The sequence below is a fragment of the Homo sapiens genome, chromosome 14 (assembly GCF_000001405.40).
Source record: "Homo sapiens chromosome 14, GRCh38.p14 Primary Assembly".
Taxonomy (NCBI): Eukaryota; Metazoa; Chordata; class Mammalia; order Primates; family Hominidae; genus Homo; species Homo sapiens.
Genome location: NC_000014.9, coordinates 105,295,156 through 105,321,229, shown reverse-complemented (window position 1 = coordinate 105,321,229; position 26,074 = coordinate 105,295,156). Strand labels below are relative to the sequence as shown.

The 26,074-nt window shown below is 53.8% G+C and overlaps 2 protein-coding genes and 1 pseudogene across 27 annotated transcripts in view, besides 9 other annotated features; 1 reads left to right on the top strand and 2 right to left on the bottom strand.

The window, feature by feature from the left end:
• PACS2 (phosphofurin acidic cluster sorting protein 2) overlaps positions 1 to 20,456 on the bottom strand; it is a 97,374-nt gene extending 76,918 nt beyond the window's left edge. For 13 of the 16 annotated variants that reach the window (XM_006720090.3, XM_006720091.3, XM_017021105.3 and 10 more), the window contains exon 1: positions 6,193 to 6,482. In XM_006720090.3, coding sequence (XP_006720153.1) covers positions 6,193 to 6,311 — 119 coding nt within the window. In that variant the 5' untranslated portion in view covers positions 6,312 to 6,482. Of the gene's footprint in view, positions 1 to 6,192; positions 6,483 to 20,250 lie in introns of those variants that run through there. The other 3 variants (XM_017021112.3, XM_017021111.3, NM_001243127.3) reach the window with 1 other exon arrangement.
• Positions 5,465 to 6,116: an enhancer, noted in NCBI's record as "H3K27ac-H3K4me1 hESC enhancer chr14:105781451-105782102 (GRCh37/hg19 assembly coordinates)". NCBI's record gives its function as "activates a minimal SCP1, AML or CMV promoter by ChIP-STARR-seq in naive H9 embryonic stem cells {active_cell/tissue: H9 hESC(naive)}" and the evidence as "EXISTENCE:reporter gene assay evidence [ECO:0000049][PMID:30033119]".
• BRF1 (BRF1 general transcription factor IIIB subunit) overlaps positions 5,641 to 26,074 on the top strand; it is a 106,304-nt gene continuing 85,870 nt past the window's right edge. For 7 of the 11 annotated variants that reach the window (NM_001242788.2, XM_047431302.1, NM_001440450.1 and 4 more), the window contains exon 1: positions 20,229 to 20,784. In NM_001242788.2, coding sequence (NP_001229717.1) covers positions 20,601 to 20,784 — 184 coding nt within the window. In that variant the 5' untranslated portion in view covers positions 20,229 to 20,600. Of the gene's footprint in view, positions 5,909 to 20,228; positions 20,785 to 26,074 lie in introns of those variants that run through there. The other 4 variants (XM_047431305.1, NM_001440451.1, NM_001242787.2 and 1 more) reach the window with 1 other exon arrangement.
• Positions 5,861 to 5,940: a silencer, noted in NCBI's record as "silent region_6229". NCBI's record gives its function as "represses an Ori minimal core promoter by ATAC-STARR-seq in GM12878 lymphoblastoid cells {active_cell/tissue: GM12878}" and the evidence as "EXISTENCE:reporter gene assay evidence [ECO:0000049][PMID:35858748]".
• Positions 6,171 to 6,260: a silencer, noted in NCBI's record as "silent region_6228". NCBI's record gives its function as "represses an Ori minimal core promoter by ATAC-STARR-seq in GM12878 lymphoblastoid cells {active_cell/tissue: GM12878}" and the evidence as "EXISTENCE:reporter gene assay evidence [ECO:0000049][PMID:35858748]".
• Positions 6,401 to 6,930: a silencer, noted in NCBI's record as "silent region_6227". NCBI's record gives its function as "represses an Ori minimal core promoter by ATAC-STARR-seq in GM12878 lymphoblastoid cells {active_cell/tissue: GM12878}" and the evidence as "EXISTENCE:reporter gene assay evidence [ECO:0000049][PMID:35858748]".
• Positions 7,031 to 7,120: a silencer, noted in NCBI's record as "silent region_6226". NCBI's record gives its function as "represses an Ori minimal core promoter by ATAC-STARR-seq in GM12878 lymphoblastoid cells {active_cell/tissue: GM12878}" and the evidence as "EXISTENCE:reporter gene assay evidence [ECO:0000049][PMID:35858748]".
• Positions 8,961 to 9,121: a silencer, noted in NCBI's record as "fragment chr14:105778446-105778606 (GRCh37/hg19 assembly coordinates)". NCBI's record gives its function as "represses an EF-1alpha promoter that drives an FKBP-Casp9 reporter gene in an ReSE screen in K562 erythroleukemia cells {active_cell/tissue: K562}" and the evidence as "EXISTENCE:reporter gene assay evidence [ECO:0000049][PMID:32094911]".
• On the bottom strand, positions 10,037 to 20,602 carry LOC124903409 (uncharacterized; annotated as a pseudogene).
• Positions 19,548 to 19,917: a silencer, noted in NCBI's record as "silent region_6225". NCBI's record gives its function as "represses an Ori minimal core promoter by ATAC-STARR-seq in GM12878 lymphoblastoid cells {active_cell/tissue: GM12878}" and the evidence as "EXISTENCE:reporter gene assay evidence [ECO:0000049][PMID:35858748]".
• Positions 20,148 to 20,557: a silencer, noted in NCBI's record as "silent region_6224". NCBI's record gives its function as "represses an Ori minimal core promoter by ATAC-STARR-seq in GM12878 lymphoblastoid cells {active_cell/tissue: GM12878}" and the evidence as "EXISTENCE:reporter gene assay evidence [ECO:0000049][PMID:35858748]".
• Positions 21,408 to 21,487: an enhancer, noted in NCBI's record as "active region_9144". NCBI's record gives its function as "activates an Ori minimal core promoter by ATAC-STARR-seq in GM12878 lymphoblastoid cells {active_cell/tissue: GM12878}" and the evidence as "EXISTENCE:reporter gene assay evidence [ECO:0000049][PMID:35858748]".

Genomic DNA, 26,074 nt, shown 5'->3' with positions numbered 1-26,074 from the left:
GACAAACACTGCACCATCAACTGCCAAACACACATTCCTTTTAAGTATAAACAGAACGTGCATTAAAATTGACACACTGACCCAGAAAGCAGGTTCAAAAAAAAATGTTTTTGCAGTGGCGCCATCTGGGCTCACTGCAACCTCCGCCTCCCAAGTTCAAGTGATTCTCCTGCTTCAGCCTCCTGAGTAGCTGGAATTACAGGTGCGTGCCACCACGCCTGGCTAATTTTTGTATGTTTAGTAGAGATGGGATTTCACTACGTTGCCCAGGCTGGTCTCGAACTCCTAACCTCCGGTAATCCACCCACCTCAGCCTCCCAAAGTGCTGGGATTACAGGTGTGAACCACCAGGCCCGGCCAGTCAGGTTATTTTATAAGTGAATTATCCCAAACATTCAAGGAAGAAATGATTCCAATTTTACATAAGCTATACCACGATACAGCAAAAGAGGCAGTACTCATTTCATTTCACAAGGAAATCTTAGCGCCAAAATCTGCTAAGGACTACAGAAGAAAGGAAGCACATAGACCCCAGACACACATGCAGAAGTCCTAAACAAGATACTATCATCTAAACCCACCAATGTGGGCAGGTAGGGAGGCTCACACCTGGAGTCCCAGCTCTTTGAGAGGCCAAGGTGAGAGGATCACTTGAGGCCAGGAGTTGGAGACCAGCCTGAGCAACATAGTGAGACCCCATCTCTACAAAAAATTTAAAATTAGCCAGGCCAGTGGCATGCACCTGTAGTCTCAGCTACTCAGGAGGCTGAGGCAGGAGGATTGCTTGAGCCATGGTCACACCACTGCACTCCAGCCTAGGCAAAAGAGCAAGACCCTGTCTCAAAAAATAAATACATAAATAAATATATATCCACCAATTTTTAAAAAGGGTAATACAACATGCTTAAACTAGTATTTTTCCAGGAATAGGTTAATGTTAGAAAATCAATTTACGGCCAGGCATGGTGGCTCACGCCTGTAATCCCAGCACTTTGGGAGGCTGAGGTGGACGGATAACAAGGTCAGGAGATCGAGACCCTCCTGGCCAACACGGTGAAACCCCGTCTCTACTAAAAATACAAAAATTCGCTGGGCGTGGTGGTGCACACCTGTAGTCCCAGCTACTTGGGAGGCTGAGGCAGGGGAATTGCTTGAACCTGGGAGGCAGAGGTTGCAGTGAGCTGAGATCACGCCACTGCACTCCAGCCTGGTAACAGAGCGAGACTCTGTCTCAAAAAGAAAAGAAAAGAAATAAAATCAATTTATGTAATTTACCACAATAGTAATGAAAAGATAAAAATTATATAATCCTCTTAATGAAAGTACTTGATTATATTCAACATCCACTCATAATGATTTCTTTAAAAAGCCTTTGCAAGTCATGAATAGGATGAGACTTTTTAAGTGCATAAAGGCTATCCACAAAAAGTTGCAGCAAACATCGTCCTTAAAGGTAAAACACTGGAAACCTTCCTTAAGGTCAAGACAGAACACGGGTAATCCACGCAACCAACCATATTCAACACTGTACTATGACAACTGGCACAGTCAGGCAAGAGAAAGAAAGAAAAGTATGAGGATTGAAAAGAAACAACTTTGTCTTTTGCAAAAGACAAAACATACATTTTGAAAATACAAAATAATCTATAGATAAGTTACTAGGTTAAAAATAGTAAAATCACTGATTTCTTTGAAAAATCAACTGAATTTCTATATGTTAGCAACAAACATAATAAAAAGCTGACTTTTACTATGACTTCTAAAATACAAGCATCTAGGAATAAATGTAACAAAGGATATGCATGACAGCAGAATCTTGTAAAACTCTCAAAATACATTCAAGACCTAAGTAAATAGCTTGATCATGAATGAGAAGACTCAGTACCACACAAACGTCAATTCTCCCCAACCTGCTCTACAGAGTTAAAGAACTTCCAATTATAAACCAAATGTGGCTTTGTGTGAAACTTAAAAAGATAATTCTGGCTGGGCGTGGTGGCTCACGCCTGTAATCCCAGCACTTTCAGAGGCCAAGGCGGGCGGATCACGAGGTCAAGAGATCGAGACCATCCTGGCCAACATGGTGAAACCCTGTCTCTACTAAAAATACAGAAATTAGCTGGGCGTGGTGGTGCACGCCTGTAGTCCCAACTACTCAGGAGGCTGAGGCAGGAGAATTGCTTGAACCCGGGAAGTGGAGGTTGTAGTGAGCTGAGATCGTGCCACTGCACTCCAGCCTGGGCGACAGAGCTTCTCAAAAAAATAAAATAGGCAGGGCGTGGTGGCTCACGCCTGTAATCCCAACACTTTGGGAGGCTGAGGCGGGCGGATCACGAGGTCAGAAAATTGAGACCATCCTGGCTAACACGGTGAAACCCCATCTCTACTAAAAATATAAAAAAAATTAGCCGGGCGTGGTGGCGGGCGCCTGTAGTCCCAGCTACTCGGGAGGCTGAGGCAGGAGAATGGTGTGAACCCAGGAGGCGGAGCTTGCAGTGAGCCGAGACAGCACCACTGCACTCCAGCCTGGGTGACAGAGCGAGACTCCATCTCAAAATAAAATAAAATAAAATAAAAATAAATAAATAAATAAATAAAATAAAAATACAAAAATTAGCCGGGCATGCTGGCAGGCGCCTGTAGTCCTAGCTACTTGGGAGGCTGAGGCAGGAAAATCGAAACAGGGAGGCGGAGGTTGCAGTGAGCCGAGATTGCACCACTGCACTCCAGCCTGGTGACAGAGTGAGACTCTGTCTCAAAAAAACAAAACAAAACAAAAAAATTAGACAGACATGGTGGTGTACACCTGTAGTCCCAGCTGCTCAGGAAGCTGATGTGGGAGGACTGCTTGAGCCCAGGTTTTAGGGGTTACAATGAGCCATGATCAAGCCACTGCACCCCAGTCTGGGCCACAAAGTGAGGCTCTGTCTCTAAAAACCAAACAGATGGCCAGGCCCAGGGGCTCATACCTGTAATCTCAGCACTTCGGGAGGCCGAGGTGAGAGGATCACTTGAGCCCAGGAGTTCAAGACCAGTCTGGGCAACATAGGGAGACCCTGTCTCTGCAACAACAACAACAAAATACATAAATAAAAACAAATTAATAAACATCAACCGAAAAAACAATCAAGTGGGAAGGGCAAGGTACAAAGCAGCCCAGCCCTTGCTGAAGAGCAGGTGGGGGCGCTCAGGGACATGGGCACCAGGAGGACACTCTGGGAACCCAGGAGGCAGAGGCCACAGACAGGCACTGACGCATACCCCGTGGACCACCTAGGAGCACCGTGTGTAACAGTGCTGAGCCAAAAGCGTCGCAAGGAAACCCGGAGCACAGGCCTCCCCAACAACAGCCCAGCATGCCCAGTTCAAGCTCCCGGGGGCAGACTTCTCCGGCTGCCTCCCAGAAGGAGAACCGAAACGAGACCAGCACCCCAGCCTGGCAAACAGTCAATGTGCACACTCCACCAGGCTGACACGGGGAGTGCACCCAGAGGCTGCTCAGAGAGCAAAGACTCGCTCATAACTGGACGGGGACATCCTCAACACAGCCGAGAAAGGATGACTATCTCTAAAGAAACTGCTGAAACTCAAGCAGAAAAAAAGAGAAAAAAAAACTGGCAAAGGAACAGGAATTTCACTGACAAGGAAGTACAAATGGCCTAAATTAGTAATCAGAGAAATTCAAGTTAAAACCACGATACCACTTCACACCCACCAGACTGGCAAAAATTAAGTCAAATGAGTGTTGGCACAAATGTGGAGCAGTGGGGACTCTCGTCCCTGTCAGTGGGGGCCGGAGCAGGCACAACCACTCTGGAAAACTGCCCAGCAGTAACGCTGAGTGCGTGCACACCCCCACCATAAATCCTGGTAGCTGGCGGTACATGCTTAAGACAGGCCCTGCCCATCCAGAAAGACACACGCAGAAGACTGGCACACGATGTCCACAGCAGCACGGGGCTTGTAATTAACCAAAAAACTGGAAACAAGCCAAGGTCCCTTGACAGAAGCAAAGCCGAGGTACTGTCACGCCAGTGAATAGTACGCAGCAGTGAACACGCCGAAAGGCATCAGCACACACGCAGCCCAGAAGCTTCATGGCTGGGCAAAAGTGAGGAGTACAGAAGAACTCAGGAGGAACAAAGCAAAACTAAGTAGCAGACTGTCCGAGGATGCACGGACAGGCGGCACAAGCACAAAGCAAAGCTAGGGGCAAGCCCGCCTATGAGGGGCCCTGTTCCAGGACAGGTAAGGGCAGGAGCTCATTATGAGGCTGAGCATGTCCTACGAACAAACTGCATCTGCCCACCTGGTCAGCTGCGCCACTCGCCCCTCCGCCCATTAACTCCTCCGCCCATTAACTCCACACCAACAGAACAAATCCTGTCCTCCTGCCTACCCTTCCTCCCAACCCTGTCCAGGCCAGAGCTCGGGACCCCCCCCAGCACTTAGTGCTACCCAGCCCAGGTGCCCCCATCTACCCCCGCCTGTCCTAACCAGGCTTCTCGAAACCCGCCCTACCCATACCCTCCCCACAGACACCAGAGTGGGCTTTCTAGACCCCTGGAGAATAGAGCACAGCTCCACAGGGGGGCTGATAAGGCCCCCGGCCCCTCCTGCCACACGCCCCCACCTCCCTTGGGTTAAAGACTTTGCTGCTCATTCGGAGGGCCCCAGGAAGCTGCTGCAGAGGTTCAGCAAGGGCAGGCTATGTGCTGCAGTGCTGGAGCAGGGGAGCGCCAACAGCCCGCATGAAGGTTCTGGGGCTGTGGGTGAGGCAGTGACTCAGAGGGGCAGACAGGAGAAGGGCTGTGGGGCTGTGGGACCTGACATTGGGGCAATCGCCAAGACCTGGAATGGAGAAGCAGCCAGGCCTGGGGAGATGCTCCTGGCTTTGGCTTTGAGGCCCCAGAGACTTCCCAGAAGAGAGGCAAGCAGGCACATCTGCAGTGCTCGGCCCCAGACCTTGGGCAAATGCTGACCCTTAGGTCTCATATGGACACTGGGTCCTTCGGGAGGCCCCGCCAGGTGCAAGAGTCGTGCCGGGTGGGCATCCTTCCTGTCCACTCAGCAAAACCAAAGCCCCGAGGTCCCAACCCTGCGCTCCAGGAGGGCAAGCCCCACTGTCCAGCGGCTCTGCAACTCCAACACCACGCTCAGAGATGCAGGCTGTGGGAGCCACAGGAAAGCACGGAGAGGCCCACCTGCAGCTGACTAGGGGTGGAACAACTCAATGCCACGTGGGGTCCCCTCCAGGCATACTGGCCACTTCCAGTGCCTGGAAGGTCCGCTCACCCTCCCATCTCCCCAGGGAGAACTCTCACTACCCCCAACCGCCTCCTCTTCTCGCCTGCTGTCTATTCTAGAACCAGAACTTTTCCGGAGAGCGTGTCTCTCTCCTCCTTAGCCTGGGAGCTTCCTGAGCAGGAACTACCAAGTCACGAAGAAATTACAAAAGTTTCAAACTGAGCAGGAGACTCAGGGAAGCTGCAAGTCCAAGGAAGGCTGGGCTATGGCCGGAGGGTAAACCCTGTCCAATCGTTACCGCTGGGCGACCGGGCGCCCCCCTACCAAGTGCAGAACAGCCAGTCTTCCGCAATGGCAAGATCAACTGGGAGGCGCAAATAGCAGTACTGGCTTGGCGACGCCTCTAAATGAGAGACAGCGCCAACCAGGTACCCGCGAGGACGACCCCGCCCCGCAGGACAGGGCATCTCCACCGCGCGCTGGACGGAGGATACAACCGAGTCCTGCGCGCCCCGTGCGCCGGGGGTCGCTCCCAGGCCGAGGTCTGACAGTGTCGCCGAACGCGAAAGGAAGCGTGTGGTACCCGAGAGAGGAAGCACCCTCGTCACCCCGGCCGGCACCGCATTGAGGCAGGTGTGCAGGTGCGGTTGCGGCGAGCCAGGTGAGCGCCGCCCGGGAGCCCCAAGGTCCCGCCGGGTCTGAGCAGCACCGGGTCCTCGGAAGCTGAGCGCGGCCCCCGGTGCTCGGGACCTGGGGGGCTGGGGCCGCGCTTGCCGGAGCTGCGGGGGGGCGGCGGCTGCACGCGTCGAACCGGCGGGCGGGGGCGCGGGGGGCGACCTGGGCTCCGCTGGGGGACCCGGGCCGGGGATGGGGCGCGCAGAGGCCGCGGCCAGGACACCCCCAGCAGGTGCCCGGCGGGAACAAAGCGCGGCGGGCGGCGCGTACCTGGGCACGCAGCTGGGGCTGGAGCCGTCCACCTCCCAGGTGGCGAACAGGTTCATGGGCACGGGCGTGTTGAGCGCGCCGGGCGCGCCGGGGAGGCCGAGGCGGCCTCGCTCGGCCATGGCGCCGGCCCCGCCGCTCCCTCGGCGGCCTGGGGCTGCGGCCGGGCCGCGGACGCGCGGCGGGCGGGCCGGGCGCGCGGAGGGCGGCGGCGCGGTCACATGGCTGCCGGGCGGCGGAGGGGACGGGCCGGGCCCCGGCGTCGGACAGGCCCGCGGGCGGCGACGAGCTGCGGCCGCTCCGCCCCGCCCCGCCCGGCGCCCCGCCCGCGCCCCGCGCGCCCCCGGCCGCCCCGCGCGCGCCCGGCGCCCTCCGACCCGCGCCGGCGCCGCCGATTGGCTGGGCGGGGCGCCAGCTCGCCGCCTCGGGTCCAATCGCCGCCGGCGCAGCGCGCGCCGGAAGTGAGGTGCGCGCGCGCTTCCTCCGGCGGCGCCTCACGGGGCGTCCCCGCCCGCCGGTGCGCGAGAGCGCGCACTCACGCGCCTGCGCACAGACCCCGCCCGGGGCGCCCCGCCCCGCCCCCCGGGAGCCGCGGGCAAGGGCCGGGAGAGTCGTGGGGGTCCACCGGGTCCCGGCCAGCTTCAGGCGCCGCCCCCTAAGGAAAGCTCATCGTCGCCCTGGCGATGCCCACCTCCCCACGCGCGGATTCCCCGGCCTCGACACTTTCCCGCCTCCACCCCGCCATGCCCCGAGTCTCCCCGCCCCCCTGCCCTCGCCGCCCCTTGTCTCCTGCCGACCCCCGCTGGGTTGGCCCGGCTGTGCGGGCCCCGCCCGTCCCCGAGCCCCTCCCTCGCGCCCCCCTGCGTGGGTTCCCCGGGACGCAGGGAGGTGGCAAGGAGGTGGCCGGGCCTGGCGGCGGTCGCGGGGACTCGAAGCCACTCGGGGCGCCAGGCTGCCGAGCTTAGCCTCCAGGGCTCCAGATGACCCCGGGCGCCCTCTTTGCGTCCCAGCATCCTTATTCAGCGCCGCTTTTCAGCGTTGTGCTCAGGACAATGGAGAACAAATGTCTGGGGCCAAGGCTGGCTCCTGGCCCTGGGGTTAACAGTGAACTTGGGGACCCAAGCAAAGAGGAGGCAATGGCTAGAGCCGCTGGGGCCCGACGTGTAGGCTCTGGGGCTCAGGGAGGGTGCTTCCCCCATCTGTTTGGCAGCGGCTGTGGTCCAGCACCAGATGCCAAGCCGAGATTTAGGAAACGGTTTTCTGGCCTCTCTTCTGTTTCCTTGTTTCACAGTTAGTTTACAGTTGCTTTTCTCTTCGCCCTGTGTCTTGTCTACAAGTAGTTTTACTGAAACAAATCCAGCCCGAGCAAATTGACCTGGAGCTGGTTTCTTTCCTGGCCCACGGGGCTTGCCACCCCAGTGCCCCGTCAGCTCCTTCTGCAAAGGCCCTCATGCCGCTGCTTCCTCCGTTGAGAGAGCTCAGCCTCCAGCTGTAACTCCTGTATCTAGAACTGCAAACAGCTGCGACTGCTTAAAGTCAGGGTCCCACTTCGGAGAGAACAAGGGACTCTGTGTTTCCCACGCGCCCCTGGCTCCTCTAAGGTGGTACACTGAGAGCCATGAGGGTCTGTCTGACCTTGGCCAGCTGCTCGGCGGGCAGAGGGCCGGTGGATCTCATACCTTTGAGACAGGGTAGGGGGAGAAGTGACTATGTCCAGAGAGGGGGTAGCCATACCCCAGGAGGACAGGCTGTCTGTGATGGGAGGGCAGGAGACAGGCACCCATTGACCCCAGAACTGAGCGTACGGCGCTGCTGGACCTGGCGAGCGTGCAGTTGCAGTCAGACGGATGGGCCGCCTGACACATGGTGCCTGTGTATGCCAGCGTCTAACCCAGGCAGGGACTACAACTGGGGGTCAAGTGAGGAGATGCGGGGTGACTAAGCCGTGCACAGCAGGGCTTGGCACCAGCTGCCACCATTGAGCGGTGCCCCTCCTCTGTGCCAGGCACCGTTGTGAGCCCTTAAGGGACGTGACAGTTCTGTCCCATCCCAAGTGACAAAAGAGGAGATGGCGGCCTGTGAGGTTATGCAGCTGCCAGGGGTCGGGATATGACCCACACAGTCTGTACCAGAGTGGCCCGAAGAACCCGTATGGTGGGTCTACATCAATGCTTCTGCCAGGCAGGAAAGCAGGGACACGAAACACACCATGTGTCACGCCTGCGACCACGTTTATGTTTGTTTTTAAGGTGGGATGGTGGTGATGGGACTGTGGTCTTCTGTATTTTCCAAGTGCACAGATGTCCCTTGGGTGATCAGAGTAACTTTTTAGCCAGAACTTGTTATTTGCACTGCCCTCCTCTGTCGGAAAATGATGCTGTGCTGGTCCTTCTCTTGAGGGCTGTGGGTCACAGGAGGAGATCCCCTGAAGGCTGGGAGGCATCCCTCCCCATGCTATGACCCTGGCATGGTGTGAGCCCTCACCCCCGTGTTTGGAGCACAGGTGCTTTCTCTGGTAGCGTTTTCTTTAAAGCAGGAACTTGGTTTGAGACAAACCTCTCGGATGACTGGGGTGGCTGGGCACGGTTGGGGAGGAGGTCCAAGAAGAGGATCCTTCAGAGCCCTGGGGTCTCAGGAGGACAACCTGAAAGCTGGTCCTACCACGTGCTGCCCGGGGTCCCCGGAGGTTGTGGGAGTTATTATTATTTAAGAAGTTAAAGCTTCAAGGTTCTGAATGCTTGGCTAGGATTCCATTGGTATTAAAAAGACGAAGCCCCAACCCCCAGTCATGGGACAGGATGGGCCGAGGCCTTTCCTCTGTCCGCCTGGCTTCGCTAGGTCCCTCCACCTAGGGTGAAGGCTCAGGCTTTTCCAGTCGGGCGCCAGGACCATGGGCTGCTTGGAAACGCATTCATCTCCTCAGCCTGGGCTAAGATGACACAGACACACAGCAGGCCCTGCTGAAGTCGGGGAGTGGGGGAGGGGCCTCCTCCAGGGCCAGCACTGGTCAGTTGGCGGCTCCAGCCCACAGCGCCCCTACTCCTTCTCCTGCCAGGAGCTGGGCTGAGGAAGCAGCCCCACGTGGCCAGGTCCCTGCCCAGCCCATGCTATGGCAGAGGGACAGAACTGCCGAACCCCTAGACAGGCCCTGCCGCATCCACTCCCATGGTTGGAGCACATGGCCATGACTGAGGCTGAGGAGGAATGGTCACAAAAAAGGTACAGCAGGGCCCTCCTCCTGGAGGCATTTTCTGGGAAGCCATGTGGGGGATGGCCAAGAGCTCTAAGACCGCTGAGATCGCTGCACCCGCAGCCGCACCTGTGGACAGTTCCCACGGTCACCCTTAGAGCAGCTCAACTGCTGAGAGTGAGGCCTGGAATCAACCCCGGGGTTGTAGAGTAGAACAGGGTTAGGTGAGCCATGATAGAACCTGATAGAATATTCTACAGCTGGCAGAAATAGTGAGTTAAAAGTAGCTAAAAACAGGCCAGTCGCAGGGGCTCACACCTGTAATCCCAGCACTTTGGGAGGCCAAAGCGCACAGATCCCGTGACCTCAGGAGTTCAAGACCAGCTTGGGCAATATGGCAAAGTCCCATCTCTAACAAAAATACAAAAACGTACCTGGGCATGGTGGTGCGCATCTGTGATCCCAGTGACTTGGGAAGCTGAGGTGGGAGAATCACTTGAACCCAGGAGGTGGAGGTTGCAGTGAACCAGGATCACACCACTGCACTCCAGTCTGGGGGACAGAGCCAGGCTCCATCTCAAAAAATAAAAATAAAAAGGCCGGGCACAGTGGCTCATGCCTGTAATCTTAGCACTTTGGGAGGCCGAAGTGGGTGGATCACCTGAGGTCAGGAGTTTGTGACCATCCTGGCCAACATAGTGAAACCCCATCTCTACTAAAAATACAAAAAATTAGTGGGGCATGATGGTGCGCGCCTGTAATCCCAGCTACTCGGGAGGCTGAGGCAGGAGAATCGCTTGAACCCAGCAGGCAGAGGTTCCATTGAGCCAAGATTGTGCCACTGCACTCCAGCCTGGGTGACAAGAGTGAAACTCTGTCTCAAGAAAACAAAAATGTATGTGAAAATGCATGTCCATGTGCAGTATGTATTTACATGTTAGTGATTATACATATAAAACACCTATTTTCAGGTATAGAAAAATATTGATAGGATACAAATTAATCCAAAGTGTTAAGAAAGTATCTCTGTGTGATGGGGATTCCATTGATTTGGTTTCTCCTTTTTGCTTATCTTTATCTCCTATTTTCTCCATGATGAACATGTATTAATTGTGTAGGGAAAATCAAACCACAGCAGGGTGAGCTGCCGCTGGCTGGAGAGCCGGGCGCCATCTGGCTGGGGCTGCGCCCCGTCCTGAAAAAACCAAACGTGCAAAGGGAACCCTCACCCAACGCAACAAACTATTGAGGATGATCTTTGTAAGAATACTGAATGTTTCACTAGGGTAACATTCTTTTTTTTTTTTTTTTTTTTTTGAGACAGAGTCTCGCTCTGTCTGTCGCCCAGGCTGGAGTGCAGTGGTGCCATCTCAGCTCACTGCAAGCTCTGCCTCCCGGGTTCATGCCATTCTCCTGCCTCAGCCTCCTGAGTAGGGGGGACTACAGGCGCCTGCCACCACGCCTGGCTAATTTTTTGTATTTTTATTAGAGACGGGGTTTCACCGTGTTAGCCAGGATGGTCTTGATCTCCTGACCTCATGATCCGCCCGCCTCGACCTCCCAAAGTGCTGGGATTACAGGCGTGAGCCACTGTGCCTGGCTCACTAGGGTAACATTCTTAATATCAAAGGAAATCATACAAGTCCATAAGACCACTAAAAAATTCCCAGTGGAAAATGGTTAGAGAAGCTACAAAAGATTCACAAAAGAATAAGTGAGACAGTTGTCACTACTATCACGAATTGTAAATTATAAAAAGATGCACATGGCTGGGTGCGGTGGCTCATACCTGTAATCCCAGCACTTTGGGAGGCCGAGGCGGGTGGATCTCCAGGTCAGGAGTTCAAAACTAGCCTGACCAATACACTGAAACCCCGTCTCTACTAAAAATACAAAAATTAGTCGGGTGTGGTGGCGGGCGCCTGTAGTCCCAGCTAGTCGGGAGGCTGAGACAGGAGAATTGCTTGAATCCAGGAGGCGGAGCTTGCAGTGAGCCGAGATTGTGCCACTGCACTCCTGCCTGGGCAAGAGAGTGAGACTCCGTCTAAAAAAAAAAAAAAAAAAAAAAAAAAAAGACACACATCACCACCTTCTCCTTAATGCAGGCTAATCTAGACCTAATACAGACCTAAGGTCGTGATGACATCCTCGGTGTCCTGCACGCTGCTCCCCTCCTGGGTTGGGCGCAGGCAGCGCAGCTCCCTCACACAGCACCTGGGGCAGGACCCAGAGCAGCTCTGCAGAGTGGCTTGGCAGCGTCTTGGGAGATTTGCCTGGGCTCATGGGTATCCCATGGCATCCTGCAGGTGACACTGGAAATGTCAACAGGGACACAGGTCCAGGTGTGTGAGATATTTCAAACAGCAACACCTACAGAAAGGAATGTCCAGTCCAGGGGAAATGACAAAACTTGCCCTGGCACATCCACCCCATGGGATGTGGAATAACCAGCAAAACGGAACGCTGCCTCAGTTTTAGCAACATGGGGAAATTCTCAGATATGTGATTGTGTGACAAATCAGGGTGTAAAGTTGAACACAGCATGACCTGGATTCAGGAATAAAACTCTCCCCTCTTGACTGTGGTTATCCTGAGCCCCAAGATTAAGAGGGACCTTGATGCATAAATTTTAACACTTCTTTCTTTCCCACAATAGAATATCATCACAATAAGCCAGGACATAACTTAAATATTAGAAAAGAAAGGAAAACACCCAGGCCCTAATACAGAAATCAGCCAAGGACATTCACAGACATCAGAACAGCAATTACCGCAACACGTGTCAACCAACACTCAACCTCAGTGCTCTTCGTGCAGGATGGATTTCTGGTTTTGTTAGGTTTTGTTTGTCTTTTTCTTTTTTTTTCTTTTGTTTTCTTGACAGGGTCTTGCTCTGTCAACCAGGCTGGAGTGCAGTGGTGCCATCATGGCTCACTGTAGGCCAGATCTCCTGGACTCAAACCATCCTCCTGCCTCAGCCTCTCAAAGTGCTGGGATTACAAGTGTGAACCACTGTGCTGGGTCCCTAAGGGTTTTAAAAAATTATTTATTTATTTAGAGACAAAGTCATGGCTGGGCACAGTGGCTCATGCCTGTAATCCCAGCACTTTGGGGGGCTGAGGCAGGCGGATCATGAAGTCAGGAGTTCCAGACCAGCCTGGCCAACATGGTGAAACCCTGTCTCTACTAAAACTGCAAAACTTAGCTGGGCACAGTGGCTCATACCTGTAATCCCAGCTACTCAGAAGGCTGAGGCAGGAGAATCACTTGAACCCAGGAGGCGGAGGTTGCAGTGAGCCAAGATTGCACCACTGCACTCCAGCCCGGACGACAGAGCAAGACTCCATCTCAAAAAAAAAAAAAAAAAAAGACAGAATCTGCCTCTGTCGTGCCCAGGCTGGAGTACAATGGTGCCATCTCAGCTCACTGCAACTTCTGTCTCCTGGGCTCAGGCAATCCTCCCTCTTCAGCCTCCCGAGTAGCTGGGACCACAGGCATGTACCACCACACCTGGCTAATTTTTGTATTTTTGTTAGAGATGCTGTTTTGCCATATTTCCCAGGCTGGTCTCAAACACCTGGGCTCAATCAATCCTCTCACCTCAGCCTCCCAAAGTGCTGGGATAACAGGTGTGAGCCACTGTGCCCGGCCTAATTGTTTTTTTGGGGGGGACAGAGTCTCACTCTATGGTCCAGGCTGGAGTGCTGTGGTGTGATCATAACTCACTGCAGCCTCAGTCACCTGGGTTCAAGCGATTCTCCTGCCTCAGCCTCCCAAGTAGCTGAACTAGAGGCACGCACCACCACGCACAGCTAATTTTTAAATTTTTTGTAGAGACAGGGATCTCACTTTGTTGCCCAGGCTGGTCTCGAACTCCTGGGCTCAAGCTATCCTCCCACCTCTGCCTCCCAAAGTGCTGGGATGACAGGCGTGAGCCACTGTCCTGGCCTGGCCCTTGACTTCTGTGGTGGAAGGTGGACTGGAGCCTCACCAAGTCTCACTCGAGTTGCGGAGAACAGACAGGAACAGGGACTTGCCTTCTGAGCAGTCTGTCTACCAGACACATGTCCTCCATCATACTCCGCAGTGCTAGGGTGGGCTATTCTTATCCCTGTTATGCAGATGAGGAAGTAGAAACCTAGAGAGATTGAAGCACTTGCCCAAGGCCAGGCAGCAGGTGAGAAGGTGAGAAGGCCATAGAAGCTTGCTTTCTCATTTCCCCTGCTGACTGCTGCATGGGGGGACAGGGCTATTGAGTACCCAGGAGTTATTTTGATCAAATGTGATAAGATGACAGACACAGAGACAACCGCCTTTGAAAGAGGAGTTTATTACTCACAGTTCCCAGGAGGAGGGGCACGTGGGGAAGCACCCAGGGCCAGTCAGGACAGGGAGGGGGTGAAGGGAAAGGGTGGGCAAGAGCCTTTATTGCCATTTTCCAGGCAAGGCAGAGGAGGCAAGCTGAGCAGAATTAGAACTGGGTCATTTCAGTGGGCTCTGGGCTTGGGGGTGGTATCTAGCTAGCTGGTACCTGGCCTTGGGGTGATTTAGGGCAGGGGGCTAGTGTTCAGGAATGCAGGAGCCTGATGAAAGGAGGCAGGTGGGACTCATGATGGTTGCTCTGCATATCAAAGGTATGCTCAGCCTGCACGGTGGCTCAAGCCTGGGATCTCAGTACTTTGGGAGGCTGGGGCCAAAGGATCTCTTGAGCCCAGCAGTTTGAGACGACAGTGAGCTATGATCATACCACTGCACTCCAGCCTGGGTGACAGAGTGAGACCCTGCCTCAAAAAAAAAAGAAAAAAAGAAAAAATAAAGTAAATAAGGCATACTCAGAGGCAAGTGGTCAGCTGTCTCTAGGAATTAGCTAACCCTGGGAGGGGAGTCCCTCTCTAGGTCCACGAGACCCCAAGATGTCAAAGCACCACAGATGAGAACACGATGGGGCTTGGCACGGTGGCTCACGCCTGTAATCCCAGCACTTTGGGAGGCCAAGGCAGATGGATCATTTGAGGTCAGGAATTCAAGACGAGCCTGGCCAACATGATGGAACCCTGACTCTACTAAAAATACAAAAATTAGCTGGGCGCAGTGGCAGGTGCCTGTAATCCTAGCTACTTGGGAGGCTGAGGCAGGAGAATTGCTTGAACCCGGGAGGTAGAGATTGCGGTACATCAAGATCGTGCCATTGCACTACAGCCTGGGCGACACAGCGAGACTCAGTCTCAAAAAAAACCCCCAAAAAACAGGCCAGGTGTGGTGGCTCATGCCTATAATCCCAGCACTTTGGGAGGTTGAGGTGGGCAGATCACGAGGTCAGGAGATCGAGGCCATCCTGGCCAACATGGTGAAACCCCATCTCTACTAAAAATACAAAAAATTAGCCGGGCATGGTGGCATGCACCTGTAATCCCAGCTAATCGGGAGGCTGAGGCAGGAGAATCGCTTGAACCTGGGAGGCAGAGGTTGCACTGAGTCGAGATGGCGCCGCTGCACTCCAGCCTGGGGGACAGAGCAAGACTGTGTCTCAAAAACAAAACAAAACAAAACAAAACAAAACAAACCCAAAAACAAAAGACACCATGAATGAAGAAAGCCTCCAGGAGGGGAAGTTTGCAGGTGCCTAGGCGTGTCCTTCAAAACTCTAACCCTGCTGGTCAGGTCATTTTTCTCAGGCCCTGAGAAAAGGAAATCCTTCCTGGTCTAAGTGTTACGAGCACGTTCAGTTCAGATTAAAGCAATTCTCTCATTTCAGTGCAACACCTACATTACTTTCCAGCTCTCTGGGGCCCCCATGAAGGAATGTTCCTGCCCCACACCCCCAGCCTGGGCCCCGCTCTGCTGCTGTGTGCTGGAGTCAGGTCTAGGGGCAAGCCCACAGCCTCTCCCTGTTTACAGCCAGAGCGGAGATCACTGCACGTTTCCAGCGTCCTCTTTGGCGCGGTGCGAGTGAGGGTCCTGCCTTGCAGGGCTGAATGAGGAGTACAGAGGACCCTGGGCACAGGAAGCTGGTGCTGGGTGCCCAGTGTGGGTGCTCTGAGGGCACTGGTGCCCCTTGGCCGCCCTTGCTTGACTCTTTGAGCTTGTCAGTCAGTCCTAAATGTTTCCAAGCTTCCTGGGGCGCTTGCAGCATGGGGCACCTAACCGGTCCCCAGGGCAGTTCTCCGCATTCTCCCTCTAACCTGGCTCCATTCTTTATGCCTTCACATCACGTGGGGAGCGTTACTCCCTGCCTCAGTTGGTTCACACTGCAATGGCAAACCACCACAGTCCAAGTGGCTTATAAACCACTATTCATTTCACAGGACGGTGCTGGCAGATGCCGTGTCTGGTGAGGGCCACTTCCTGGTTCATAGACAGTGCCCTCTTCCTGCATCCTCACATGGGGGAAGCAGCAGACAAGCTCCCTCCAGCCACGTTTTTTCTTTTTTCTTGTTTCTTTTTTCTTTGAGACAGGTTCTCAATCTGTCGCCCAGGCTGGAGTGGAGTGGTGTGATCTCAGCTCACTGCAGCCTCAACTTTCTGGGCTCAAGCAATCCTCCTACCTCAGCCTCCCAAGTAGCTGGGACTACAGACACATGCTACCACAACCGGCTAAGTTTTTGTAGTTTTTGTAGAGTCAGGGTTTTGCCATGTTGCTTAGGCTGGTCTCAAACTCCTGGACTCAAGCAATCCTCCCTCCTCAGCCTCCCAAAGTGCTGAGATCACAGATGTGAGCCACTGTGCCCAGCCAGCCACTTTTCTGAGGGCATTAATCCCGCTCATGAGGGAAGCAGCCCTCATGACCTCATCTCCCAAAGGCCCCACCTCTCTAAAACCATCGCCTTGGGGCAAGGACGTCAACATATGGACTTTGGGGGAACACACATGATATGATTTGGCTCTGTGTACCCACCCAGATCTCATCTTGAATTCCCACATATTGTGGAGGGACCTGGTGGGAGGGAATTGAATCATGGGGGCAGGTCTTTCCCGTGCTGTTCTTGTGATTGCGAATAAGTCTCACGAGATCTGACGGTTTTATAAGAGGGAGTTTCCCTGCAGAAGCTCTCTCTCTCCCTGCTGCCATCCACGTAAGACGTGACTTGCTCCTCCTTGCCTTCCTCCATGATTGTGAGGCCTCTGCAGCCACGTGGAACTACAGGTCCAATAAACCTCTTTTGTTTGTTAATCGCCCAGTCTCACGTATGTCTTTATCAGCAGTGTGAAAACAGACTGATACAATGCACATTCAGACCATAGCACCCCTCCTCTGCAGCCCATCTGAGCAAAGGCTTAGTTCTGGCAGCACGCACCTTGGGCCATTGCCCAGTAGAGCCTCACCCTTTTTTATATTTTATTTTATTTTATTTTATTTATTGTGAGATGGAGTTTCACTCTTGTCGTCCAGGCTGAAGTGCAATGACGCCATCTCGCCTCACCACAACTCCCGCCTCCCAGGTTCAAGCAATTCTCCTGCCTCAGCCTCCCGAGTAGCTGGAACTACAGGCGCCCACCATCACACCTGCTAATTTTTGTATTTTTTGGAAAGATGGGTTTCACCATGTTGGCCAGGACGGTCTTGATCTCTTGACCTCGTGATCTGCCCTCCTCAGCCTCCCAAAGTGCTGGGATTACAGTCCTGAGCCACCGAGCCTGGCTGAAACCACACCCTTTAAACCTCTTACCGTTGTGGGTGTGGTCTTCCCCACCCTCTGCTCCTCTGGCCAATCCTGTCCTGTACAGCCTGACTGTCCTGTACTGCCTGACTGTCCTGCACCGCTGTGGCCTGGGAGGCATGCTGCCCCTTGCACCTGCAGGCACCTCACAGGCTTTGGTGAGGGAGCACACGAAATAACCCCTCTAGTCTGTCAGGTGAGAGCAAGGATCCAGTGGCCACATGGCCTCAGATTGGATTCTGGCTTTGTTACCTACTGGCTATGAGATTTGGGGCTGTCACCCCTCACATCCTCAAGGGCTCCCTCCATAAAATGGAGACAACAGTGTCTGCAAGCTAGTGTTGCCATAAGGATGAAATGTCATCATGGACAGAGAGCATTTTGCATAGAGATCAATAATACATATTTGAAAAATCCCCAACATTTAGAAACAAAACAATACACTTCCTAATAACCCTTGGATCCGGGAGGAAATTAAGAGTGGAGACAATCTTGAGCTGAATGAAAATGAAAACACAGCACATTGAAATGTGCAGGATTCAGCTAAAGTGGTAATTACAGGGAGAATTATAGCAATAAAATGCCTATTTATAAAGGAAAAGAGATCTTAAATCAATGATTTCATCTTTCACCTTAAAAAACTAGGAAAAGGCCAGGCGCGATGGCTCACGCCCATAGTCCCAGCACTTTGGGAGGGCGAGACAGGTGGATCACGAGGTCAGGAGATCAAGACCATCCTGGCTAACACAGTGAAACCCTGTCTCTACTAAAAATACAAAAAATTAGCCAGGCATGGTGGTGGGCACCTGTAGTCCCAGCTACTTGGGAGGCTGAGGCAGGAGAATGGCATGAACCCGGGAGGTGGAGGTTACAGTGAGCCAAGATCGCACCACTGCATTCCAGCCTGGGTGACAGAGCGAGACTCCACCTCAAAAAACAAAACAAAACAAAAACTAGAAAAAGGGGCCGGGTGCATTGGCTCACGTGTAGAATCTCAACACTTTGGGAGACCAAGACAGGTGGATCACTTGAGGTCAGGAGTTTGGGACCAGCCTAGCCAACATGGTGAAACCCCATCTCTACTAAAAATACAAAAATTAGCTGGGCGTGGTGGCACATGCCTGTAATTCCAGCTACTTGGGAGGCTGAAGTGACAGAATCACTTGAACCTGGGAGGTGGAAGTTGCAGTGAGCTGAGATGGCACCACTGAACTCCAGCCTGGGTGTTCTCTATCTCAAAAAAAAAAAAGAACTAGAGAAAGGGCGGGGAGCAGTGGCTCATGCCTGTAATCCCAGCACTTTGGGAGGACAGGGCGGGGAGCAGTGGCTCATGCCTGTAATCCCAGCACTTTGGGAAGACAAGGCGGGTGGCTCACTTGAGCCCAGGAGTTCCAGACCAGCCTGGGCAAATGAGGCAAAAACCCATCTCTACAAAAAATATTATCTGGGTGTGGTGGCACATGCCTGTAGTTCCAGCTACTCGGGAGGCTGAGGTGGGAGGATCACCTGAGCCCAGGAGGTAGAGTCTGCAGTGAGGCTTGATTATGCTACTGCACTCCACCTTGGGTGACAGAATGAGACACTATCTCAATTTTTAAAAAATGAAGAAACTAGAAAAAGGGAACACATTGAACCAAATTAAGTGGAAAGAAGGATCTAACAAAAATGAGAGCAGAAATTAATGAAATAGGGCCATGCACGGTGGCTCATGCCTGTAATCCCAGCACTTTGGGAGGCTGAAGTGGGCGGATCACCTGAGGTCGGGAGTTCAAGACTGGCCTGACCAACATGGAGAAACCCCGTCTCTACTAAAAATACAAAATTAGCCAGGTGTGGTGGTGCATACCTGTAATCCCAGCTACTCGGGAGGCTGAGAGAGGAGAATCGCTTAAACCCAGGAGGCAGAGGTTGCAGTGAGCCGATATCTCACCACTGCACTCCAGCCTGGGCAACAGAGCAGAGACTCCGTCTCAAAAAAAAAAAAAAAAGAAAGAAAAAAAAGAGGGTGGGGTCTTCCGCATTTCCTTTTTTCTCTTTTTTTTTTTTGAGACAGAGTTTCACTCTTGTCACCCGTCACCCAGGCTGGAGTGCAATGGCGGGATCTCAGCTCACTGCAACCTCCACCTCTCAGGTTCAAGTGGTTCTCCTGTCTCAGACTCGCGAGTAGCTGGGATTACAGGCGCCCACCACCAAGCCTGGCTAATTTTTTTGTATTTTTAGTGGAGACGGGGTTTCGCCATGTTGGCCAGGCTGGTCTCGAACTCCTCACCTTACGTGATCCGCCTGCCTTGGCCTCCCAAAGTGCTGGGATTACAAGCGTGAGCCACTACGCCTGGTTACGCATTTCTTTTTAGGCTCATTCCTGGGTATGTCACCGGCCCTATGGCGATTGTGAACAGCACCTGCAGATATTTGAGGGCGTGCGCAGCCAGGGTTCCCGCTCTGGGCAGGGGGCACAGCGAGGTGACTCACGGGTAACCACAGGTGGCCACGAATGACTGCTAGAAAGTGGGAATTTTAGGGGAACAGAAAACGGAGAATAGCGGGGCGCACGGGGAGGCTCTGGAACCTGGGCGAGCGGAGCGGCGGACGCCGCAAATGCGGAGGGCGGGGCAGGGTGGCCCCTGGCGGGTGTCTCCACCTCTGCGGCCAGGCCCCCCAGCGCAGCTGCCCTGGCCCCGCCCACCACTCCCAGAGCCCGGGGTTGGGTCCCAGGTCGCCCTCAGGAGCCAAGGCCCCGCCCACCACGCTCGGCCCCCTCGCCTCAAGCCCCGCCCACAGTTCGGGTCCAGACCCAGGCTCCGCCCCCTTCCCCCGCCCACAGCTCCAGTTCCCTTCGCAGGCCGTCTCTCCACGGGAGGCCCCGCCCCCCACCCTCAGCCCCGCATCCGGCTGAGTCCTCACCCCAGGCCTCGCTCGCCGCTGGAGACCGCGCTCACTATCCGAGGAGGACCCTCCTCTGCCCCGCGTCCAGCTTTAGTCCCCGACTGCGTTCATCGCCAAGGGCCCGCCCACTGCCTTAGGTCGCGTCGCCAGCCTTGGGTCCCGTCGCCAGCCTTGGGTCCCGTCCCCGGCTGCACTCACCGCGAGGCCCCACCCTTAGCTCTAGTCCCCGGTGTCGCCCACCGACGAGGCCCCGCCCCAAACTCCAGTCCCGGGCTGCGCTCACCGCCGTGGCCCCGCCCCCAAGCGCCAGTCCTCGGCTGCGCTCACCGGTAGGCCCCGCTCGGGTTCCGCCGAAGCCCAGCCCCCGCAGGTCGCCCCTCCGACGCCGGCGCGCCGCAAGGGAGGCCAGCTCGCTCGCAGTGGGGAGGTCGCGGCTCCAGTCCTCGCGTCCCCGCCGTGGTCCCGGTGCCTGTCCCATCCCGCGGGCGCGGCCGTTGCGGGCGGCGCGGCCCGGGCGCGCGCGGCGAATCTGCGGCTGCGAATCGGCTGGAGCGGGGCCTCGCGAGAGCGGCGAGGCCTGGGCGGCTGGGCCTGGGCGGGCGGCGCGGGCTGCTCCGGAGGCTCGGGTGGCTTGAGAGTCTTGGGAGGCTCCGGGCGCTGCCCGCGCGGTCGCCGGCATGACGGGCCGCGTGTGCCGCGGTTGCGGCGGCACGGACATCGAGCTGGACGCGGCGCGCGGGGACGCGGTGTGCACCGCCTGCGGCTCAGTGCTGGAGGACAACATCATCGTGTCCGAGGTGCAGTTCGTGGAGAGCAGCGGCGGCGGCTCCTCGGCCGTGGGCCAGTTCGTGTCCCTGGACGGTGAGTCCCGCGGGCTGGCGCTGCGCGGATTTCTCGGTGCGGCTTAGGCGGGCTGGAGGCGGTGACGGCGCGGCCGGGACCAGCGCCTCGGTACCGCACGCTCTGTCGGGGCGCGCGGTTCTGCGCCGTCTGGGCGCGAGTGTGGATCCCCTTGGCGAGAATGTAGACCTTCTTCGCGCGCCTGTGGACCCCCGTGGCGTGCGTGGACTTCCTCGACACACGCGTGGGCCAGGGCAGCCAGCACAGGGAGGGTTGAAGAGAGCCTGGGGAGCCCAGAAGGCCCCTCAAGCTGCCCCTCACTGTCACTCTCTGTGCCTGCAGTTTTGTTTTCAGCAATGTCTGGTACTTAGAATCCGATTGCTGCTGCCCTTGGCCTTGGTGGTTACCGGGCGGATGCCCTAGGGCCACTCAGGCTGCTGCAGGCCTCGGAGGGGACGTTTCAGTGATGGGCAGTATTGCGGGCTGGGGATGGACCCCAGCCTGTGGAAGGAGCTGGACTGTGGCCAGTTTCAGGTGGTTGTGAATAGAGCTGCTAAAAGGATTCATTTGCAGCTCTCTGTGTGAACATACGTTTTCATTTCTCTGGGGAACTTAGCTGTATGTGTAACTCTATGGGAAACTGTCATGAACTGTTTTGTGATGTGGCTGTGCCATTATGCATTCTCACCAGTTGCCCCACATCTTCACCAGCACTTGGTGTTGTCGATGTTTTTATTTCGGTTGTTCTAACAGGTGTGTGGCATCTCATCATAGTGGTATTCTGTATTTCTCTACTGGCTAGTGATGTTCAACCTTATTAGGGTGCTTATTTGCCATGCCCGAATCCTCTTTGTTGAAATGTGTGCTCAAGTCTTATTTTTTTATTTATCTCGAGACAGGATCTCACTCTGTGGCCCAGGCTGGTGTGCAATGGCCCAGTCATGGCTCTCTGCAGCCTTGAACTCCTAGGCTCAGGCAATTCTCCTGCCTCAACCTCCTGAGTAGCTGAGACTACAGGTGCATGCCACCATGCTGTGATCATTTATTTTATTTTATTTTTAGTAGAGACAAGGTCTCTATGTTGCCCAGGCTGGTCTCAAACTCCTGGGCTCAAGTGATACTCCAGCCTTGGCCTCCCGAATTGCTGGGATTACAGCGTGAGCCACCACACCCTGACTCTCATTTTTTATTTGGGTTGTTTTCTTATTGTTGAGTTTTGGGAGTTCTTTGTGGATTGTAGTTACAAGCCCTTTGTTGTATATGTGATTTTCAAAGCAGAAGTTTTTTTTCTTTTGAGATGGAGTCTTGCTCTGTTGCCCAGGCTGGAGTGCAGTGGCTCGATCTCGGCTCACTGCAAGCTCTGCCTCCCAGGCTCACGCCATTCTCCTGCCTCAGCCTCCCGAGTAGCTGGGACTACAGGAGCCCACTACCATGCCCGGCTAATTTTTTTTGTATTTTTTAGTGGAGACGGGGTTTCACTGTGATAGCCAGGATGGTCTCGATCTCCTGACCTCGTGATCCGCCTACCTCGGCCTCCCAAAGTGCTGGGATTACAGGCGTGAGCCACTGCGCACGGCCTCAAAGCAGAAGTTTTAACTTTTTTTTTTTTTTTGAGACAGAATCTTGCTCTGTGGCCCAGGCTGGAGTGCAGTGGCACAATCTCGTTTCACTGCAACCTCTGCCTCCCAGGTTCAAGTGATTCTCGTGCCTCAGCCTCCCAAGTACCTGGGATTACAGGCGTGCGCCACCTCACTTGGCTAATTTTTGTATTTTTAGTAGAGACAGGGTTTCACCCTGTTCGTCAGGCTGGTCTTGAACACCTGACCTCAAGTGATCCGCCTGCCTCAGCCTCCCAAAGTGCTGGGATTACAGGCGCGAGCCACCGCACCTGGCCTAAATCTGTGGTCCATCTATGTTTTGTATAAGGTGTGCTTTGTAGGCTGAGGCTCATTGTTTATCTGGAGGTCCCCTTGTTTCAACACCGTTTGTTGAAAGACTGAAGGCCTTTGCTCCCTCGGCTGTGCTCACTGGGCCCCGTCCGTGCAGGTCTGTCTCTGGGCCTTGTGTCCTGCCCTGTTGATCAGGTGCCGTTTTCCTTTGTCAGCATCACACGCTTTTTTACTATACCTGTTATATTGTCCTGAAATCAGATATTGTGAGTCCCTCAACCTTTGTTCTTCCTTTTCAAAGTTGTTGTGGCTATTAATTTCCCTTTCTCTTTTTAATTTTAGAGTAAGTTTGTGCATCTCTGCAGGTCACATATTCTTACCTGAAATGCTTGGGACCAGAAGTGTTTTGGATACCAGAGTTTTCTGATTTTGGAATATCTGCATTATAATTACTGGTTAAGCATCCCTAATCGAAAAATCTGAAATCTGAGATGCTCCAGTGAGCATTTCCTTTGAGCATCGTGTTGATACTCAAAAAGTTTCATGTTTTGGAGCATTTATTTTTTATTTTATTTTTTTCTTGAGACGGAGTCTCGCTTTGCTGCCCATGCTGGAGTGCAGTGGCACTATCTCGGCTCACTGCAAGCTCCGCCTCCTGGCTTCACGCCATTCTCCTGCCTCAGCCTCCCAAGTAGCTGGGACTACAGGCGACCGCCACCACGCCCGGCTAATTTTTTGTATTTTTAGTAGAGACGGGGTTTCACCGTGTTAGCCGGGATGGTTTCGATCTCCTGACCTCGTGATCCACCTGCCTCAGCCTCCCAAAGTGCTGGGTTTACCAGCGTGAGCCACTGCACCGGGCCGTTTTGGAGCATTTATAATCTCAGATTTTTGGATTTGGGATGTTCAACCTGTACAAAAGTCCTGGTGGGGTTTTCATTGGAATTGCATTAAACCTCTTGATATATTTAGGGAGAGCTGACATTTTTTCTTTCTTTCTCTTTTTTTGAGACAGAGTCTCACCCTGTCACCCACGCTGAAGTGCAGTGGCGCGATCTGAGCTCACTGCACCCTCCGCCTCCCGAGTTCAAGTGATTCTGCTGCCTCAGCCTTCTGAGTAGCTGGGACTGCAGGCACACGCCACCACACCCAGCTAATTTTTGTATATTTTTTAGTAGAGACGGGGTTTCACCACATTGGCCAGGCTGGTCTCGAACTCCTGACCTCGTGATCCGCCCTCTTCGGCCTCCCAAAGTGCTGGGATTACAGGTGGGAGCCACTGTGCCCAGCTGACATTTTTTCTATGTTGAATCTTGTAGTCCATGGAACACAGTGTATGTTTGCATTCATTTAGATTTTCTTTGATATAGTCTGTCAGTGTTGGGTAGTTTTCAGCATACAGCTTCTGGACTTTTTTTTTGAGATGGAGTCTCGCTCTGTCACTCAGGCTGGAGTGCAGTGGTGCAACCTCGGCTCACTGCAACCTCTGCCTCTTGGGTTCAAGCGATTCTCGTGCCTCAGCCTCCCAAGTAGCTGTGATTACAGGAGCCCACCACCACGCCTGGCTAATTTTTGTATTTTTAGTAGAGACAGGGTTTCACCATGTTGGCCAGGCTGGTCTCGAACTCCTGACCTCAAGTGATCCCCCCCCACTTCAGCCTCTCAAAGTGCTGGAATTATAGGCATGAGCTGCCGTGCCTGGCCCTCTGGACATTTTTTAGATGTGTACCTAAGCTCTATTAGGAGTTATTATAAGTGGAATTTTTTTAATTTAGTTTTCAACTCTTCATTGCTTGTTTATATAAATATGGTTGATTTCTGTGTGTTGTCCTGTTTCCTATGGCTTTGCTAAACTTACTTGTTCTAAGAGGTTTTTTTTTTTTTTTCTTTTTTTTTGAGCTGGTGTCTTGCTCTTGTTGCCCAGGCTGGAGTGCAGTGGCACCATCTTGGCTCACTGCAATCTCCGCCTCCCAGGTTCAAGAGATTCTCCTGCCTCAGCCTCCCAAGTAGCTGGGATCACAGGCACCCGCCACCGCACCCAGCTAAGTTTTTTGTTTTTTTTTTTGAGACGGCGTCTTGCTCTGTCACCCAGGCTGGAGTCCAGTGGCACAATCTCGGCTCACTGTAAGCTCTGCCTCCCAGGTTCATGCCATTCTCCTGCCTGAGCCTCCCAAGTAGCTGGGATTACAGGCGCCCAGCACCACGCCCGGCTAATTTTTTGTATTTTTAGCAGAGGCGGGGTTACATGGATGGTCTCAATCTCCTGACCTCGTGATCCGCCCACCTCGGCCTCCCAAAGTCCTGGGATTACAGGTGTGAGCTGTTGCACCCGGCCGCAGTTTTTGTATTTTTAGTAGAGATGGGGTTTTGCCATGTTGGCCAGGCGATCCACCCGCCTTGGCCTCCCAAAGTGCTGGGATTACAGGTGTGAGCCACCACACCTGGCCCCTAAGAGTTTTTAATACACTCCTTGAGTTTTTTTTTTTTTTTTTTTTTTGAGATAGAGTGTCGCTCTGTTGCCCAGGCTGGAGTGCAGTGGCGCAATCTGGGCTCACTGCAACCTCCCCCTCCTGGGTTCAAGCGATTCTCCTGCCTCAGCCTCCTGAGTAGCTGGGATTACATAGGAGCCCACTACCATACCCGGCTGGTTTTTGTATTTGTAGTAGAGATGGGGTTTCACCATGTTGGTGAGGCTGGTCTTGAACTTCTAATCTCAAGTGATACACCTGCCTTGGCCCCTGAAAGTTCTGGGATTACAGGCGTGAGCCACCGCACCCAGCTTTTTTTTTTTTTTCTGGGACAAAGTCTCACTGTTGCCCAGACTGGAGTGCAGTGGTGTGATCACAGGTCACTGCAGCCTGGAACTTCTGGGTTCAAGAGATCCTTCCACCTGAGACTCCAGAGTAGCTAGGACTACGGGCATGCACTACCATGCCCAGCTAATTAAAAAAATTTTTTTTTGGTTGGGGAGACAGGGTCTAGGGTCTTGCTCAGTCACCCTGGCTGGAGTGCAGTGGTCATGGCTTACTGCAGTCGTAACCCCCTGGGCTCCAGTGACCCTCCCAGCTCAGCCTCCTGAGTTGCTGGTACTACAGGTGCGCCCTACTATACCCAGCTAATTTTTGTATTTTTCTTGTAGAGATGGGGTTTTGCCATGTTGACCAGGCTCGTCTGGAACTCCTGGGCTCAAGTAATTCTCCCGTCTTGGCCTCTCAAAGTTCTAGGATGACAGGTGTGAGCCAACGCCAATTTTTTTTTTTTTTTTTTTTTTTTTGTAGAGATGTGGTCTTGCTTTGCTGCTCAGGCTGGTCTCGAACTTCTGACCTCAAGGCATCCTCCCACCTTGGCCTCCCAGAGTGCTGGGATTAGCGGCATGAGCTGCTTTGCTCAGCGCCGGATGTTCTGTTGAGGGTTCCTGCTGA